At 40.3% G+C, this 20,109-nt stretch overlaps 1 protein-coding gene across 2 annotated transcripts in view, besides 1 other annotated feature; it reads left to right on the plus strand.

Annotated features, from left to right (window-relative positions):
* Window positions 1-20,109, plus strand: part of HERC5 (HECT and RLD domain containing E3 ubiquitin protein ligase 5) — a 49,045-nt gene that overhangs the window by 15,612 nt on the left and 13,324 nt on the right. The window contains exons 12-16 of one of the 2 annotated variants that reach the window (NM_016323.4): window positions 3,111-3,300; window positions 6,623-6,777; window positions 13,385-13,498; window positions 14,339-14,449; window positions 16,436-16,606. In NM_016323.4, the coding sequence (NP_057407.2) occupies window positions 3,111-3,300; window positions 6,623-6,777; window positions 13,385-13,498; window positions 14,339-14,449; window positions 16,436-16,606 (741 nt within the window). The remainder of the gene's footprint in view (window positions 1-3,110; window positions 3,301-6,622; window positions 6,778-13,384; window positions 13,499-14,338; window positions 14,450-16,435; window positions 16,607-20,109) is intronic. The other variant, XM_011532022.3, reaches the window with a different exon arrangement.
* Window positions 9,235-9,399: a silencer, noted in NCBI's record as "fragment chr4:89403116-89403280 (GRCh37/hg19 assembly coordinates)". NCBI's record gives its function as "represses an EF-1alpha promoter that drives an FKBP-Casp9 reporter gene in an ReSE screen in K562 erythroleukemia cells {active_cell/tissue: K562}" and the evidence as "EXISTENCE:reporter gene assay evidence [ECO:0000049][PMID:32094911]".

Below are 20,109 nucleotides of genomic sequence, written 5' to 3' on the forward strand. Positions count from 1 at the left end.
ACACACATACACATATATGCATACACATTCGTAGAGGGAAGTTTTTCAACTCAGGGCTTTAGGAAGATGATTAAGGATTTGTTGAGATTGGTACACTAGAATAAGAACATTTTATATGCAAAGCATAAATGTAGAAATGAGAACATTTTTTCTGATATGAATATCCCTCTCACCAGGGACTGCCTGGATTCTTTTTTTTTTTTTTTTTCCATTCTACTTTTCTGTAGATTCTAGAATGTTCTTGTTCCTTATGGGATGATTGTTTCCTGTTTCAGCACTGTTACTGCTATCTTTAGGTTTTCTTTTTGCAGGTGCTCCAAACATGCTTCCTTTATTTTTATTTTTATTTTTTTGGAAACGGAGTCTCGCTTTGTTGCCCAGGCTGGAGTCCAGTGGTGCGATCTCGGCTTACTGCATGCTTCGTTTATTAATTTAGTTTTTCTTAATGTAGTTTTTATTATTTCCCTATTTTATTTTACTGGTTGATATGGGGATACTACTTTCTGTTCTACTCTCCATTTTTTTCTCTCTGGGTCGCACTGTAGTTCCTTCTTTCTTTCTCTCTCCTTCCCTCCTCCCCTCCTTCCTCCCTCTAGCCTCACCCCATTTTTTAATCTCTCTCTGTGTTCATATCCCTCTTCTCTTTCCCTCTCAATCTTTGATCTCTCACCCTTCCTCCTTTCAGCTCCCGCACTTGCTCTGTTTGCCACAACTAGCATTTTCTATTTCAGCTGCAAGTTTTCTCATTCGCTCCTTTCTTTCAAGGAAAGATGGAAAGTTCAGTTCTCTTAACTTTGGCAGAACCACAGCCCCACTGGGGGTCCGAGGTGAAATGGTTCCCTAATTATGTACCTTTATTGGGACCCTACAACACTTAGTGCTGCCTGTATCAACAACCCAGAAACTACTCAGTGGACTATTTCATCAACATTTGTTAGAGCTCATTTTCTTTTGTTTTCTAAAATCCTCCTGTGGGGGCCAGTTTAACTTTCTTTCTGTAAGATTCTGAGTCATTGCTACTAAATACAACCATGGAAAGATTACCAAAAATAGAAGCCCTTTTGTGCGTCTGTGAAGGGAAGGGATTGGATCAGTTCATCATTAAGGGCTCCTTCTGTTTACTAATTATACCTTGATTGTGCCACAAAAAGAACATATGGTATGTAAATGAAATAATCATAGGGCATCCTTGACCTCCATTGTTTCAGAATAAGATGATTGGATTAGAAGACCTGTAATGTTTCTTTCTATCTTGAGGTTCTGCGATACGGACTCTCAGACCTTTGGCATGTGTTCATTTATTCAGCAAACATTTGAATACTTGCTGTGTGCTGGGCACTGTAATGATGACTCGATGAAGAATAAAAGAGACATACTCCCTGTGCTTTAGAAGCTCATGGTGTAGTAAGGGAGACAGATACATACATGCATACATCAGTGCAAAGACCTGGTGTGTTTTACACTTCACTGTCTTCGCTAGTGCCTGGCTTAGAATGTAGCCTGTGTGCAATATTTTTGGATGAATTGAGTCATTATTAGGGCAGTGAATGGTTAGCTCTTTTTACTCAAAACAAGTTGCCCAGAGGAATTAAGATCTTACCAGGTGCTCACGTGGAAGGATATTCGAGGCAGCTAGAAAAGCGTATGCCAAAGCACAGTGTGTCAGACAATAGGACTGGCTCGAGGGTATCACAGTAATTCTAAGGGTTTGGAATAGGTGAGGAGGCTTGAGGTTGTGTCTGATGATGAGCAAGGAGGTAGAATGCGTGTGTACTAATAAGATGTTGAAATAGAGTTGTCAGGTATACGTAACTCCAAAGACCGAATCTCATCGTAGGAGTCCAATATAATGTTTTAATATAAAAATAGGTAATTATAACAATTCGTACATTTACAGATATCACTTAGCCACTATCTCATAATATAATGATTAAGAATTTGGGCTTTGGAGTCAGAAAGATCCAGAGAAATTCCCACTTAGCTGTGTGACCTTGAGCAAGTTACTTAATTTCTCTGAATCACAGATTTCTCATCAGTAAAATGGGATTAATAACATCTGTGTTAGGGAGAAACTATAATAAGGGTTAAATGACCTAATTAATATATGTACATCACTTAGCACAATAATTGACAAGTAATAAGTATTCCATAAATACTAGCTTATCTTCATAGTGGGATTTTAAACAAATGATTACTGTGATCTAAGCACACATAACAAAAATTCAGAATTCCATTCCATTTTTTCCTAAACAGTTGCATTCTGAATTGGGGAAACTATAAGGAAATTGGAGGGGCTAGAAACTAGAGTCTGTGGTAGAGACAGTTGCTCTTATGGAAGATAATGAGAATTATGTTAAATTTTGTTCTTGAAATTTTCGGATTTTGTCTTTTTTTTTTTTTTTTGCTTTGTTTTGTTTTTCTGCTTTTTGGAGTTCTGATGCATTTTTACTCTTGAAAAAAGAAACCCACGGTGTGATAGTGTAAACCAGAGGGTAGAATATGGTACTTATGACTGAGAAGGCTGTTTATTAGTTCTGAATCTATTGTTCATTGAGTGTAATTCTTGCACATGTTTTTTTCTTTTTCTTTCTTTCTTTTTTTTTTTTTTTTTTGAGATGGAGTCTTGCTCTGTGCCTGGAGTGCAGTGACACAATCTCGGCTCACTGCAACCTCTGCCTCCCAGGTTCAAGCGATTCTCCTGCCTCAGCCTCCCAAGGAGCTGGGACTACAGGCACGCACCGTCACGCCCAGCTAATTTTCATATTTTAAGTAGAGACAGGGTTTCACCATGTTGGTCAAGATGGTCACGATCTCCTGACCTTGTGATCTGCCTGCCTCGGCCTCCCAAAGTACTGGTTAGGTGTGCTTGATCTCCTTCATGCACCCTGATAATTGAATGGAGAGAATACTAATTGTATATCCCAAATACCTCCAATATTTTGGAGGCTAGGTGAGAAGGGATGTAAACAGGGGTTTTAGAAAACTCAATGATTATTCTCATTTAGTAGTAGAATGACATTCCAGCCTCTACACCTTGTTTTATTACCATCAGTTGCACCCTGCTTCTACTGAGTTTTGAATCCCTTTTCCCTGTTCCTTTCTGACCACAGATAACCACCTGCCTCAAAGATAATCTGCTCAAAAGACTTCCATTTCATTCTCCACCCCAAGAAGCTTTAGAAATTTTCTTCCTTCTCCCAGAATGTCCTATGATGCATATTTCCAACAACTGGGAGAGCCTTGTGGTTCCATTTGCAAAGGTTGTTTGTAAAATGAGTGACCAGTCTTCACTGGTTCTGGGTAAGTTTGATCATTTGAAGATACTTTACCTGTCTTCTCAGTGGAAAGACATGTCTAGTAAAGTTATGGCAAAACTAAGATACTTAGAAATGTATTCATTTTTTTTTAGTTCGTATTGTTAGCATACTCTAAAGGTACTATAACAATTACCATGGTCATCTAAAATAGATTATTCTAATACTTTTTTAGATTCCTTGGATACACACATGGCTTTGTCATGATTTCCTTAGTTTCCAACTTTTCACTATGAAAAATTTCACAGAGAAGTTGAAAGAATAGTATGGTATACCATATGCAATAAATGGTACACCTTGCTGGAGTGCAGTGGTACAGTCATAGCTCACTGTAATCTTAAACCCCTGGGCTCAAGTGATGAGGATGCTAAGTTCTAAACTTGTAATAGTAATTGTATTTATTCACTGAAAAGTTTATTACAATTGTGCTTTTGTAATTATGGTATTAGAGTCAGCAATAATAAGTATGTTGTCATTTGTGCTTTCTGTTTATGTACAGATTACATTTTATTTTTACTGAACTATTTGAAAATAAGTTGAAGACATGAGATTTCACTCATAATATTTCACCATTCATCTAAGAACATGGAATCTGGCCGGGCACGGTGGCTCATGCCTGTAATCTCAGCACTTTGGGAGGCTGAGGCAGGCAGATCACCTGAGGTCAGGAGTTCAAGACTAGCCTGGCCAACATGACAAAACCCTGACTCTACTAAAAATACAAAAATTAACTGGACTTGGTGGTGCATGCCTGTAATCCCAGCTACTCGGGAGGCTGAGGCAGGAGAATCGCTTGACCTGAGAGGCAGAGGTTGCATTGAGCCAAGATCACGCCATTGCACTCCAGCCTGGGCGACAGAGTGAGACTCCGTCCCAAAAAAAAAAGAACATGGAATCCTGTATTACCCTGGCATCATTATCATATCTAAGAAAATTAATCATAATTTTATAATATTATCCAATATCTAGGTCATTCAAATTTCTCTTCTTTTCCCAAAAAAAGTAAAAAGTATTTATAGCTTTTTTTTTTTTTTTTAAGAATCTCATTTGAGGCCAGGAGTTTGAGGCCAGCCTGGCCAACATGGTGAAACTTCATCTCTACTAAAAATATAATCAGTCAATAGATAGATAGATAGATAGTGAAACCCCATCTCTACTAAAAATACAATCAATCAAAAGAAAGGAAGGAAGGGAGGGGAGGGGAGAGGAGGAAGGGGGAGGGGAGGGAAGGGGAAGGGAAGGGGAAGGGGGAGGGGAGGGGGAGGGGAGGGAAGGGGAAGGGAGGGGGAGGGGGGAGAGAAAGAGAAGGGGAGGGGAAGGGAAAGGGAAGGTGAAGGGAAGGGAACTGAAAGGAAAGGGGAGGGGAAGGGGAAGGTGAAGGGAAGGGAAAGGGACGGGGAGGGGAAGGTGAAGGGAAGGGAACGGAAAGGAAGGGGGAGGGGAAGGAGAAGGTGAAGGGAAGGGAACGGAAAGGAAGGGGGAGGGGGAGGGGAAGGGGAAGTGGGGGAGGGGAAGGGGAAGGGAGGGGAGGGGATGGGAAGGGAAGGAGGAGGGAGGGAGGGAGGGAAGGAAGGAATGAAGGAGGAAGGAAGGATGAATTCTGGTCAGTTGTCTTGTAGACTGTCCCACATCCAGATAGTCTGACCGTTTCCTATCCCTGTATTTCCAGTACACCGCAAGTAAGTTCTAGGGGCATGAATAGAGTTTAATGGGATTTTTGACATACATAGCATATTCAGCTCAAGGAAATCCATTCTTTATGTTTTATTAAATCTGGATAACATGATAAGTGATGAAAAGCTACTTTAAAATGGTTTTTGTTTTTTAAAATGCTGAAATATGTTTTCTGTAAGAGTTAAACACCTCAGACTGGAAGCACAAAAAGAAAGTTGTGCATTCACGAACGATTTTTAATTTAATTTTTAACACATTATACTATTTCATCTGCACAAAGAATGTGATTAATTTTGCTCATATTTTTTCACAAATTAATTACATCAAGTTTGTAGTTGTATTAACTGTAAAGGAACTTTTCCAGGATGTTAAATTATTAGTAGTATTTTTTAATAGAGACAGGACCTCACTGTCACCTAGCTGGAGTACAGTGGTACAATTGTAGCTCACTGTAATCTTTGAACTCCTGGGCTTAAGCAACCAGAAAGTTAAATTCTAAACTTGTAATAGTAATTGTATTTATTCAGTGAAAAATTTATTACAAGTGTGCTTTTGTAATTATAATATATACTAAAATATTTTGTTATGTGTATCAAAAAATTTTGGCTACTTTTTACCTTCAACAATCTAAGTAAAATTACGTGATAATTATATTTACCTTCCTTGTGAAGGTCAAATATGCAGAGATAGATAATAAAATAGTGGTTACTAGTGGATGGGGGTGGAAAGGAAATGTGGAGATGTAGGTCAAAGGACACAAAGAAGCAGATGTGTAGGATCAACAAGTTTAGAGATCTACTAGATAAGACAACAGGAGGACTGTAGTTAATAACATATCGTATTAGGGATTTTATTGTTGTTAAATAAGTAGATGTTAGCTGTCTTTGCTTTAAAAAAATATTTTTTTTTTTGAGATGGGGTCTTACTCTGTCACCCAGGTTGGAGTGCTCTGGCACAATCTCAGCTCACTGCAGCCTCCACCTCCCAGTCTCAAGCGGTTCTCCCACCTCAGCCTCCCGAGTAGCTGGGCCACAGACATGTGCCACCACGCCCTGCTAATTTTTTGTAGTTCTGGTAGAGACCGAGTTTCTCTATGTTGCCCAGGCTGGCCTGGAACTGCTGAGCTCAGACAATCCACCTGCCTCAGCCTCCCAAAGTGCTGGGATTGTAGGTGTGAGCCACCATGCCTGGCCTACCAAAAAAATGTTAATTTGCTTCACTATAGTAACAATTTTACTATTTATATGTATCCCATTACATTTTGTAGACCTCAAATATACCCAATAAGCTGGTGAGGTGGCTCATGCCTACAATCCCAGCACTTTGGGAGGCAAAGGTGGGCGGATCACCTGAGGTCAGGAGTTCAAGACCAGCCTGGCCAACATGGTGAAACCTTGTCTCTATAAAAATACAAAAATTAGCCGGGCATGGTGGTAGGCGCCTGTAATTCCAGCCACTCAGGAAGGTGAGGCAGGAGAATTGCTTGAACCTGGGAGGCAGAGGATGTAGTGAGCTGAGATCGTGCCACTGCACTCCAGGCTGGGCAACAGGGTGAGACTCTGTCTCAAAAAAAAAAAAAAAAAAGCACAATAAAACTCATTTTTTAAAAAATTTGCTTTCCTTGTGTTCCTCAGAAGAGTATTGGGCAACTCTGCAAGAATCCACTTTCAGCAAACTGGTCCAGATGTTTAAAACAGCCGTCATATGCCAGTTGGATTACTGGGATGAAAGTGCTGAGGAGAATGGTAATGTTCAAGCTCTCCTAGAAATGTTGAAGAAGCTGCACAGGGTAAGAGTTCCTTTAGAAACCTCTGTGTTTTTATCTAGCTGTAAAAATTCCCTTCCTTTCAGCTGGCTTGAATCTTTAAGTAGACTCGTGTGAGACATACGAAGTTTATATTGCTATTTTTTTAATTTTTTTTTAAAATTACATCATACATATAAAGGAATATATATATAATACCTATTTAGAATTCAAGGAAAAATAATAAAATAAACATTAGTGTCCTTACCACCCATGTTAAAAAAATAAAACATTTCCAGTACTTTAGAAATACCTGTGTGCTGGGCCGGGCGCGTTGGCTCACGCCTGTCATCCTAGCACTTTAGGAGGCCAAGGCGGGCGGATCACGAGGTCAGGAGATCGAGACAATCATGACTAACATGGTGAAACCCCGTCTCTATTAAAAATACAGAAAATTAGCTGGGCGTGGTGGCGGGCGCCTGTAGTCCCAGCTACTCGGGAGGCTGAGGCAGGAGAATGGCGTGAACCCGGGAGGCGGAGCTTGCAGTGAGCAGAGATCGCGCCATTGCACTCCAGCCTGGGCGACAGAGCGAGACTCCGTCTCAAAAAAAAAAAAAAAAAAAGAAATAACCTGTGTGCTTTAGAAATACCGTGTACCCCTCATGGGTTGCAACCCCTCCATCTCCCAGAGGTAGTCATGATCTTGGATTTCGGGATAATCATTCCCTTGCTCTTACTATTTTAGAACTATATGTATGTATTTCTAGACACTATGATGTTTAATTTTGCTATTTTCAAAATTTATGTGAATGGAATACTGCTTCTTACACTCAATGTTTTATAGATTCATCCAGATTAATGCTTATGGCTGTATTTCATTCATTTTCACTCTGCAGTATAGTTCATTGTATGAATATACCATACTTAGCTTATCCATTCCAATATTGACAGATATATATGCTGTTTGCAATTCTTGTGTGTGTTTTTTTTTTTTGTCTTGTTGGGAGTTCCTCTATGAGAAAACATGCTGCTATAAACATTTTTGTTCATATCTCTTGGTTTTCTTGTATCAAGGATTGGTTCTGGGTTTCATACCTAATTCTAGAATTGATAAGCTACGGATATGTGTGTGTTGTTCTTTACTGGTAGTGACAAACTTCTAAAGCAGTTGGACCAATTTAAATTCTCTCCAGATGATGAGAATTCCCATTGCTCCATGTCTGACTTTAACATTTTGAAAATATTTTTGATAGGAAATGATACCAAATTATGGTTTTAATTGTATTTCCCTGGTTCAAATGCACTAGAGCATATTTTCATGTTTGTAATTGCAATATTTGTTTCCCCTTCTGTGAAATGCCTGTCCTTGACTTTTGTTCATTTAAATGATGTTTGACTTTTTCTTACTGATTATAGAATTCTTTTATTTTGGACACTACTCTTTTGTCAATGATATGTGTTGCAAATACTGTATCCTAGTCTTTTGCTTTATGGTATTTTTTGACAAACACATTCTTAATTTTATTGTAGATAAATTTGTCAATCCATTTCTTTTTACTCCTTGTGTCTTGTTTTAAACTTCTTTTCTCCCATAAAGGGTTTTGATTCGAGACAGGTTCTCCCTCTGTCATCCAGGCTGGAGTGCAGTGGCGCAGTCTCGGCTCACTGCAACCTCTGCCTCCCAGGCTCCTGTGATCCTCCCACTTCAGCCTCCAAAGTAGCTTGGACTACATGTGCAAGCCACCAAACCTTGCTAATTTTTATATTTTTTGTAGAGATGGGGTTTCGCCATGTAGCCCAGGCTGGTCTCGAACTCCTGAGCTCAAATGATTGACCCACCTCAGTCTCCCAAAGTCCTGGTATTACAGGTATGAGCCACTGTGCCAGGCCAATATTTGACTTTTTCTTAGTGCTTACAAGAATTCTTTCTATTTTGGATACTACTCCTTTGTCAATGATATGTGTTGCAAATATTTTATCCCAGTTATAGCTTGTCTTTTGCTTTTATGGTGTTTTTTGACAAACTCACATTCTTAATTTTAATGTAGATAAATTTGTCTGTCCGTTTCTTTATATAATTTTACTCCTTGTGTCTTGTTTTAAACTTTTTTTCTCCCATAAAGGTTTTAAATTATTACCCTAAATCAGGGGTCGGCAGCTTTTTTCTGGAAAGGACCAGATAGTAAATATTTTAGGCTTTATGAGGCATGTGGTTTCTGTCACAACTGCAGCTATTCAGTTGTTCAGGAGTAGCATGAAAGCAGCCACAGGCAATACAAAAATGAATGGTCATGGCTATGTTCCAATAAGACTATAAAAATAACAGAGGGCTAGATTAGGTCTGCAAAACTGCCCTAGATAGTATTCTAAGAGGACAATAGCCAAGGCCAGAGGAAGAGTACAAATGGAGGCCTAAAAAGGTTAAAAACCTATCTAACAAACTGTTAAAATAAAATATACTGTCCTCCTCTTTTGACAAATAAACCTTCATAATGACAGGGAGGGCCAGGTTTGAATTTAGAAATCTCAGTCTTCTTAAAATTCTACATTGAAAAATGGTGGCTTGCTGGGTGTGGTGGCTCATTCCTGTAATCCCAGCACTTTGCTCGGAGGCTGAGGCGGGCAGATCACAAGGTTAGGAGTTCAAGACCAGCCTGACCAACATAGTGAAACCTCGTCTCTACTAAAAATACAAAAGTTAGCTGGGTGTGGTGGCGTATGCCTGTAATCCCAGCTGCTTGGGAGGCTGAGGCAGGAGAGTCGCTTGAATCCAGGAGGCAGAGGTTGTAGTGAGCCAAGATTGCGTCACTGCACTCCAGCCTGGGTGACAGAGCAAGACTCCATCTCAAAAAAAAAAAAAAAGGGAAAAGAAAAGAAAAGAGAAGTAGTAGCTTAAATGCAGCCCTCTGCTCTTCTTTTCCTCCCTTGATTTTGTCCCCACACCAGAAGGGGTGTCACATGCCCGTATGTGGACACCTCAGCCCATATGTCTGAATTCCATCCCATCTCCCACCACAGACCCTCCGTAGCCAACCCTGAGACTGGAGGATCTCAGTTGTGACATAGTTCACTCTCTAGAGACCAAGCACGGGGAGAGGCCTGTGCCAGAAGCAGGCTTGGAACCATTTGAACATGGAATCCCAGGTCCTTGGTATATGCAGCCCAATCTAGAAGGGGATGTGTGGGCTGAAAATAGACAGGTCCCCCTGGCCCTGCAGACCCCTTATTCTGGGGGAAGAGGCTTGGCTGGAGGAGAGCCACTGCAAGAACCATGGTCCTAGGGCTGTATTCCCAAGTACCTGGGATTACAGGCGTGCACCACCATGCCTGGCTAATTTTTGTATTTTTTGTAGAGACGAGGTTTCACCATGTTGGCCAGGCTGGTCTTGAACTCCTGGCCTAAAGTGATCTGCCTGGCTCTGCCTCCCAAAGTGCTGGGATTACAGGTGTGAGCCACTGCACCTGGCCTGAATAGTGATTCTTATATTCAGCAAATTTGCCAAATTCTCATGTTATATCTAGTATTTACTTATAGATTCTTTTGAATTATTTATGTTTTCTTTTTCCAGTCCATATACGTTTTATTATTTTCCTTTGTCTTGCTCTAGGTAGGGCTTCTAATATGATGTTAAATAGAAGTGGGGGAACAGTGGATACTTATTTGTGATTTTAAAGGAAATTTTTTTTCATGGACTATTCTTAGTTTCCAAAGGAAATGCTTTTAGTATCATTTACTTATAGGGGTTTGCTGTTGTTGTTGTTGTTTTGAGTTGGAGTCTCACTCTGCCCAGGCTGGAGTGCAGTGGTGCAGTCATGGCTCACTGCAGCCTTGAACTCCTGGGCTCAAGTGATTCTCCTACCTCAGCCTCCTGAGTAGCTGGGACTATAGGCATACACCACCATGCCCAGCTAATTGTTTCATTTTTGGAGAGACAGGGCCTAACTATGTTGCTCAGGCTGGTCTTGAGCTCCTGGCCTCAAGTGATTCTCCACCTGGGCCTTGGTCTCCCGAAGTGCAAGGATTACCCGGGTAAGCCACCACACCGGCTCTATAGGCTTTTTTTTTTTTTTTTTTTTTTTTCCTGAGACAGAGTCTCATCCTGTTGCTCAGGCTGGAGTGCAGTGGCACGATCTTGGCTTACTGCAGCCTCTGCCTCCTGGGTTCAAGCTATCGTCGTGCCTCAGCTTCCTGAGTAGCCAGGAATATAGGCACATGCCACCCCACTTGGCTAATTTTTGAGTTTTTTGTAGAGATGGGGTTTCACCACATTGCCCAGGCTGGTCTCCCAACTCCTGACCTCAAGTGATTTTCCCACCTTGGCCTCCCAAAGTGCTGGGATTACAGGCATGAGCCATTGCGCCTGGCCTTCTATTAGGTTTTTGAAAATAACCTTTGTAGGTTAAGGATATTTCCCTCCTTTTAGAAATTGTTCCACATTTTAAATCTAAATGAATATTGACTCTCTTTTTTGAAATTCCAGTTATTGACATGTTAGACTTTTTCAGTCTATTTGGCATGTCCCTTAAGCTTTCTGTCATATTTTCCGTCTCATTGTCTCTCTGTACCCCATTCTGGATGGTATTTCTTCAGCCCTATCTTCCAGTTCATGAATTCTCTTTTCAGATATTTTGGTTGCTATTAATACTACCTTTTAAGTTTTTATTTCAAGTAGTAATGTTTTTCATTTCTAGATACTCGAATTTGTTCTTTAAATTTAGTTTCTTGCTCATTATTTATAATTTCTTCATTCTTTTCACATTTTCCTTTTATTTATCTGAATATATATGCCTTATAACTCAGGTATCTGAAGTCTTTGCAGGTCAGTTTCTGCTAATCTTCCTCCTGATGTCTTTATGCTCATGTATGTTGTGATTTGTGTATGTGTGAGAGCTGTCTGTTTTCCTTGGAACTTTATCTTTTGGAATTACTTGAGGGCTGGCTTTCTTCGCAGAGAATTTTCTTCTGCCAGGCTCCTAGAGATACCACCAGTTTGGTAGTACTTTACATTTTTGGCTTGAAGCTTTTTAGAATTTGGTGGCAAAGTTGAAGGAGAGCTCTTTTGTAATTACAGATCCTATAGGGGATAATTTTTCCCCAACTCAGCACCATTTGAACTTGGAACAGTTTGCCTTGTGGTCCTGGGGTCAAGGTGGAGGTGGAGTGATTGATATGGCAGTGGAGGAAAGAGCTTATTCATTTCTAGTTCATCCTTACCTGATGGTTTAACCCTTTTCGGTCTCAGACTTGTGGGGATAACTTCTCCTATGGACTCCCTAATTTGAACAGTCTAGGCTTTGCCTCCTTTCCCCAAAGCCCCAACCATTGAAAATTGAAGTTTACATTCACCAGGTTGGGCAGATGCTCTCAAGGCAAATGCCACTTTCATTTAAGTTTTTGACCTGATTATTCCATATCTACCTAAAAAATCAGTAATGCCTTTAAACATGTTTGTTACAGCTTTTCCTGTATTTCTAGGTGTTTTCAGTGGATCAGGGTACCTAATATATCATACTGCTGAAGAAAAAAATCTGCCATACTATTGAAAAACAATGGCTATTTTCAACAATTTTTAAAGGTTTTTTTTTTTTACAAAAGGGAAAGGTTAATGAAAAATAATTTGTGTTTTGAAAAAATGAGAAATTTATTGAAGAGCTCTGGGAAGGTATATTCTAACAAGCTTTTGCCACTTACAAGGAGAATCACAAGAAATACTGAAGCAGCAACAAAAGAAATCTTCAGGGGATCCCGCTTTGTCCTTTGACCGTAATAGATAATATCAGAATATTTTATATTTGTCAGGCTCCCCACCTCAGCAGGAGGCCACCAGGAACCATGAAGATGAAGTACCCACTTTCTCTGTGACTCTGGAGATCTTAAGGCTAATAATGATAAATGTAAGGCCAAGATCATCAGATCCAGAGGGCCATAGTTACAGGGTGAAACAGTCTCACCAGACTTTGGGTGGTAGTACTGGGAGGCCTGGAATATTTGAGGCCTGGACGAGAGTCAATAAGAACATTCTAGACACATGGTTTCAGTGCATATAGCCAAGATGAGTTTTTAGAAGACCACCTGAGAGTAATTTATTTCAGGATAACGCCCATCCAAGTCAAATACTAACAGTCACTAATGTCTGAAGTGTCTAGTGTCATTATTATTCATTGTCTTCACGACATGCCAGGGTGTTCATGTGTCTGTCATAATAACCCTGATCATATCATATGGGATGGAGGGTTGGAAAATTTCCTCTCGGTAGGGGAATGTTCCACAAATGCCTCAGCAGAGTGAATGTCTATAAGTGGTATATTATTAAGTCCTAAAGACTAAGACATGAAGAACTGGACCCCAGAGTACTTTGGGATATTGCATTGTTTTTTTTTTTCTTCCTATTGAAAGTTCTTTAAAAATTTCCTATGAATTAAAAATAACTAGAGGTTTATCATTACATCATCAATCTCTACTCTTAAATCTTAGATATTCTTTATGTTCATGAAAATTTGGGGCTCTGGCAGTGGAGGAATTGGATAGAATTTTATTCTGGTCATTATAAGAGTGTTTCATTTATAATTTAATCTGATAATCTAATTAACAGCTATTAAGCAAAATTGTCTTTAAATATAAAACTTTTTCACAAGTCATATTTTATTTAAGGTAAACCAGGTGAAATGTCAACTACCTGAAAGTATTTTCCAAGTAGACGAACTCTTGCACCGTCTCAATTTTTTTGTAGAAGTATGCAGAAGGTACTTGTGGAAAATGACTGTGGTAGGTATAGCATGTTTAAAGGGGGAAATTGATAATCAGTGAGTTAATACAGGCATTTCTTGTCCTCTGCAAAATTGCACAATAGAAATAGCAGGACTTGTGGGAAACATTAAGACTCCTCAAAATCTATGCAATTTTGCAGTCAGAGTTCCAGCAGAAAAGTGATTGGCACCTTGGGAGATGACTATGGGAGTATGAAAAATGCACAAAAAGGAAAGGGTAGAAATCTGTCTATACTGTAATTAGAGAAGGACTAGTGGAGCTCTGATACCCTTAAAGTGGTCATAACAAGGCAGTGAGACTCATCAGGAGCCAAGAGCCAAGACCCTGTGGGTAGAGTGTCTTGGGTGTAAGCACTCCTTTTTTATTTTCTGAAAATACAGTTGAAGGGCTCCTGCTGCCAAGGTAGCAGTTGACCCGAAGTGTTTCTCCCTTTCTCTGAAGGTTATAATTCTCCTTCTAGCACATCAAGTCTTGCCCAGCAAAATTCATGTATGAGCTAACCAGCTACCCATGTTATATCATTCTCCGTTTATCAAATGCAACTGAGCTTATTCACATGGTAGAAACTCAGGTTTCAGCAGAACAGACTCTTTGGGAAAGCATCCAAAGTTTATAATTAATTGCTAAATTAAATGGGCACTAAACATTCTCTTTATATACCTTTCATTGATACATATAAAACACATTTTCTACTACTGGTACTATGGACCAGTAATTTGGATTGCTTTTGTTGGAAGTACTGAGACCTTAAACCATCAGGGATGTAAGGCTATGAGGTAAAGTGTAAGGTTTCTCTGTCCTTTAACTTATCAGAATTATTGTCATTTCCATTTTTAGGACGCTTCAGAAAATGTACAATGCTGCGTCATATTCAGTCACTTTCCATTTATCTTTAATAATCTGTCGAAAATTAAACTACTACATACAGACACACTTTTAAAAATAGAGGTATGTATGCCTATTTGTCTTCATTAGCATAAATCACATGCTAAGCGCCTTCTTAATCATGCAGTATTTTGGGGGTGATAAGAGAACCACCTACCAGTGAAACCAATGGTTGTGGCATTCAAGGAGCTTATACTCTAATGAAGACGGCAAGGCAGACTGTCATAATTTGAATCATCTTCACCTTAAGGCAAATTAGGGCCTTGGTAGCAAGGGATGGAGCTTGGACAACTGGCCTAGTTGTCGGGTTTTTACCTGAAGTTGGCAGTGGCAGCCTGTAGTCTTCTGAATAGTACTCAAAGAGGTATAACAAACTTGGGCTTGATTAGGTGTAACAGACTTGGGCTTGACTAGCACCTATGTAAGGAGGCACAATCTAATGAAAAGATACGGTAGCAGGAATAGAAGTGGCTGAGGATTCCTGAAATTAGGAGCCCAATAAATGGCTACTACTCTGTGATGGTGCCATAAAAGAGGTTTGTACAGATTCCTCCCTTTTCCATGTACGGTACTGTTACTAGCTGAGGTGGTTATGTTTGTAGATGTATCCAGCAAAGTGGATGGATATTTTACCAACCATTAACAAAATATTTTACCACCAAAGTAGTAAAATTGGGCAATTGAAAATTCCCAAGGAATTGTATCAGATAATCCCTGCCGCATTGCAATTTAATAATGATTAAATTTGTTAATATAGGTAAAGCATTTAAAACTGCCTCACACAAAGCACCCAAAGGGTTGGGTATTATTATCACTTTTACATATGCAGACATATGTTATATGTATGTATAATATTCAAATATATGTCCTTAAAGCAGATAGTTTCATATAATGCATTTACCATAATAAAAATGGGAAATTGATTTATGAGTTCTGAGTATGACTGTAATGAAATATTTAACAAAGGGAAATCAAAGATAAAAAGATAAAAGAACTTTGTTTTGCTTCAACTCTTATAACCTATTCTCTCCTGATTTTAAACAAGGTTCCAGAGATAATTTCGTAGAAGTAATATTTGACTACTCCTTTTTCTGCTAAAAGCATAGACTTTTTTTTTCTTTTTTTTTTTTTTTGAGAGAGAGTCTCCCTCTGTTGCCCAGACTGGAGTGCAGTGGCATGATCTTGGCTCACTGCAACCTCCACTTCCTGGGTTCAAGCGATTCTCCTGACTCAGCCTCCCGAGTAGCTGGGATTACAGGTGCCCGCCGCCACACCCAGCTAATTTTTGTATTTTTAGCAGAGACAGGGTTTCACCATGTTGGCCAGGCTGGTCTCAAACTCCTGACCTCAAGTGATCCGCCCGCCTCAGCCTCCCAAACTGCTGGGATTAACAGGCGTGAGCCACCGTGCCTGGCCCTGAACCATAGACTTTAATGACCTAAAATTGCCATTTGGTTTCAGAATGGACATTCTGTCTGTCTGTCTGTCTCTCCCACTCTCTCTCCCTGCTTGTCTCTCTTCAATTAACTTCTTAGGTAAATTCTCCCTTAAAATCTCTTGTCTTGGTTTTTTTTTTCCTGGAGTAGGCTCTTTGGTGACATCTCTCATAACCTGGATTTTTTTTCCTGCAGCCTGTTTGCTTTCTAAACATCTGAACTTCTCTTCGGAATGAGAGAGCATCATGTTGCAGTGCACTGTTTCAGTGGATACCAATACATCTCTTAGCCTGTTAATAAGTAGCTTTGGTATCTTAAGCATTAATAATTGTGTGTATAGGAGAAAGTGGTCCTTTAAAACCTGCAGTTGGTAACTTACTTGCTCATCCAGCTTGGCTCCACAAAGGCTTTGATTCTTCAGGTCCCTTGTTTCCTCTGCTCACTGAGACTAAATACTGATGTTATCATTTATCTTCAGTGGTGCATATAAGGTTCTTTTCATAAATGTGACCTGCACTTATAAGCAGAACCAGTTTATTCTGCTTTCCAAATTTTTACTTAGAGAGGGCCAATGGTAAAATGAAGTGTAATATTTCTGTTTCTGTTTTCCTAGAGTAAAAAACATAAAGCTTATCTTAGGTCGGCAGCAATTGAGGAAGAAAGAGAGTCTGAATTCGCTTTGAGGCCCACGTTTGATCTAACAGTCAGAAGGAATCACTTGATTGAGGATGTTTTGAATCAGCTAAGTCAATTTGAGAATGAAGACCTGAGGAAAGAGTTATGGGTAAGGTGTAATTCTCACTTAATGTTTTTGCTGCTGAGAAAAGAAAAACATAAAAGAATGTGGCAAAGGGTTTCATAGAGAGGAAGTTATCTTCCTTTGCCACAGAGGTTGTTTATTTTAGGGTTCCTCTGATTCCCTAGTTGCCTTTGAGTTTTGGGTGATAGCTGTGGGCACTCACTCAGTATGTTTGGGCTAAGGAGCAGCAGGCAAAGTGGTTGTTCTCCCCACACCCTGCTCAGGTAGATAGTTCAGTGTTGGCCCTAAGAGGTCCAGTCCCTTCTGAGGTCTGGCCTAGCCTGGCTAGCACCACCCTTGAAGGGTTTCAATGAGATGGTTAGCATAGAGGAGAATTAAGGGGTTGTTTTTGTTCTTATGCAATAACCTAAATTGGGACAGGCATGGTGACTCACACCTGTAATCCCGGCGCTTTGGGATGCTGAAGCAGGTGGATCACCTGAGGTCAGGAGTTCGAGACCAGCCTGGTCAACATGGTAAAACCCTGTCTCTACTAAAAATACAAAAATGAACCGTGTGTGGTGGTGGGTGCCTGTAATCCCAGCTACTCGGGAGGGTGAAACATGAGAATCACTTGAACCCAGGAAGCAGAGGTTGCAATGAGCCGAGATCATGCCACTGCATTCCGGCCTGGGTGACGGAGCGAGACTCTGTCTCAAAAAAAACAAAAATAATAACCTAAATTGCTTTGTAGAAAAGAGAATTTTCTCTTTAAATCCTACAGTTATTTTGGGGTATAATTGTAGATTTGACCATGTTCGGAAGATCTTTAACTGATTTTTTGTTTAATTACCATATAATTTGTCTTATTAGTAAATATTTGATACTGAATCATAATGACCAGTAGATCTTTTGAGTGCTGTCCTTGTGGCAAGAACTGTTTTAAGTGCCTTATACCTAATTTTTTAACCCTTTCAACAACATTATGTGGCAGATTCTGTTTTTCCCTCATTTTACAGATGGGGAAACTGAGGTACAGAACTATTAGGTAACTTATCCAAGAGTAACCCAACTGATAAGCATCAGAGGATTTGGGCCTGGCCATTAAGCACTAGACTTTCTGCTTAATGAAGACGGATAAAGATTGGCCTGATAATATTTAGTAAATGGAGTATTTTTTATTGGGGACCTTAGTTTATCACTTCTCCTACTCAGATTAAAGAAAGATTGACTTTACCAAGTCTCAAGATACCAATTTAAAAGCATATTGCCCCAGACACAGTGGCTCATGCCTGTAATCCTAGCACTTTAGGAGACTGAGGTGGGCAGATCACCTGAGGTCAGGAGTTCGAAACCAACCTGACCAGCATGGTGAAACCCCATCTCTACTAAAAATACAAAAATTAGTTGGGTGTGGTGGCGGGCGCCTGTAATCCCAGCTGCTTGGGAGGCTGAGGCAGTGAGAATCTCTTGAACCCAGGAGGTGGAGGTTGCAGTGAGCCAAGATTACCCCACTGCACTCTAGCCTGGGCGACAGAGCAAGATTCTGTCTCAAGGAAAAAAATATATATATTGCAGTTAGAGTTGGTATTTCCATGTATTTTTGCACACAGATAATTGTATAACTCTAATGGACTCGTTATGTGATTCTATGCTTTGCCAGTCAGTCTACTCGATTATTTGAGTTCCACTTTTATATATTGTTCATTCAGTTTTTAAATTCAGGTAACACTCAGCATTTACCATTTGCAGGCTCTGTGTGAGGCATTTTACATGTATGACCCCTGTAATCTTTCTGATAATCTTGTGGGAAAACTGAGGTTTTATGAGGTTGGGCAGCTTGTCCTTAGTAAGAAGAGGGGGAAGGGTTTGACACCTGGTCTTGCTACAAAGATTTTTAGTATTTCACTATTTCACCAAGAGGAATGGAAGAGGCAGCATCTAAATAAATAAACTGGTAAGAGGAGATTTCTGGGGATGCTAGTATAACATCTGGGTAGAAATGTTGAACAGGCCGTTGGAAGTGACTGTCAATCAGGAGAGAAAATGCACTGAATCTGAAGGTTAAATACGTATGGGTGGTAAACAAAGTTTAAGGAGAAAATGAGCATCCAGGGAAAGAACAGAGAGAAAGGACAGAAGTGTTAGGATAGAACTGTCTGCAATTCTGTTTCTAGAAATTAAGCCAGCAGGAAAAAGAAGAGATAAATAAAACCGTGAAGAGTGCTTCATAGGAGAAAGCAAGGGAGAAGATTGTGTCAAGGAAAAGGACATGATCAGAAGTGGAAAATGAGTTAACGAAATCAAGGAGATGAGATATGAGAAAAAGTCCTTGGAGCTTGGGGATTTACAGTTCTTGTTCTTCTTGGAGAGACCCATTTAAGTGGAGAAGTGGGTTTGGAAGTTGGCGTATATCTCTGAAGTTTGGCAAGAGTGGAAGGAGCCCGTGTTTGTATTGGAGACAATGTGTTGGGATTTTTTTTTTCCTTTTAAGGTTAAGGGGGACCTTAACATGTTTGTGAATGGAAGTGAAGGATTCCAGGAAAAGGCAGGAATGGAGGGGTGACTGAAGGAGCAAAGATGGGTTATGATAGCATCCTCTTGGGAGGGATTGGTGTCAGCAGTAGGGGTGCAGCCTCCTCGGGGAGCAAACAGCCACTTCAGCAAACACCTTATGTGTGCTCTGGTTTTTTGAATATCCTGATTTTTATTATTTATTTATTTATTTTTGAGACAGAGTCTCACTCTGTTGCCCAGGCTGGAGAGCAGTGGTGCGACCTTGGCTCATGGCAACCTTCATCTCCCGGGTTCAAGTGAGTCTCCTGCCTCAGCCTCCTGAGTAGCTGGGATTACAGGTATGCATCACCACACCCAGCTAATTTTTGTATTTTTAGTAGAGACGGGGTTTCACCATGTTGGCCAGACTGGTCACGAACTCCTGACCTCACATGATCCGCCCACCTCGGCCTCCCAAAGTGCTGGCATTACAGGTGTGAGCCACCACGCCCGGCCAATTTTTATGATTTCTTTCTGTTTATTTTTATTATACTTGGATCTGGTGACTATAATAGTGATGCCAGTTGAGGTCAATTTAGGTAAAACTTTTACCTAAAGTGGTAAAAACTTTAGGCTCTGGGGTTTGACTGATAAAGGATTAAATTTAGGCTGTAGGCCGGGTGTGGTGGCTCATGGCTGTAATCTCAGCGCTTTGGGAGGCTGAGGTGGGTGGATCACTTGAGGTCAGGAGTTCAAGAGCAGCCTGGCCAACACAGTGAAACCCCGTCTCTACTTAAAATACAAAAAAATTAGCCAGGCGTGGTGGTGCATATCTGTAATCCCAGCTACTCTGGGGGCTGAGGCAGGAGAATCGCTTAAACCCAGGAGGCGGAGGTTGCAGTGAGCCGAGATCAGACCACTGCACTCCAGCCTAGACAACAGAGTGAGACTCCATCTCAAAAAACAAAACAAAACAAAAAAACTAGGCTGCACCACCTGACTATTGTATAAACTTGGAAAAGTTATTTAAATTCTCAAGGCCTCGTTATCTC

This window comes from Homo sapiens, chromosome 4 (genome assembly GCF_000001405.40).
Source record: "Homo sapiens chromosome 4, GRCh38.p14 Primary Assembly".
NCBI lineage: Eukaryota > Metazoa > Chordata > Mammalia > Primates > Hominidae > Homo > Homo sapiens.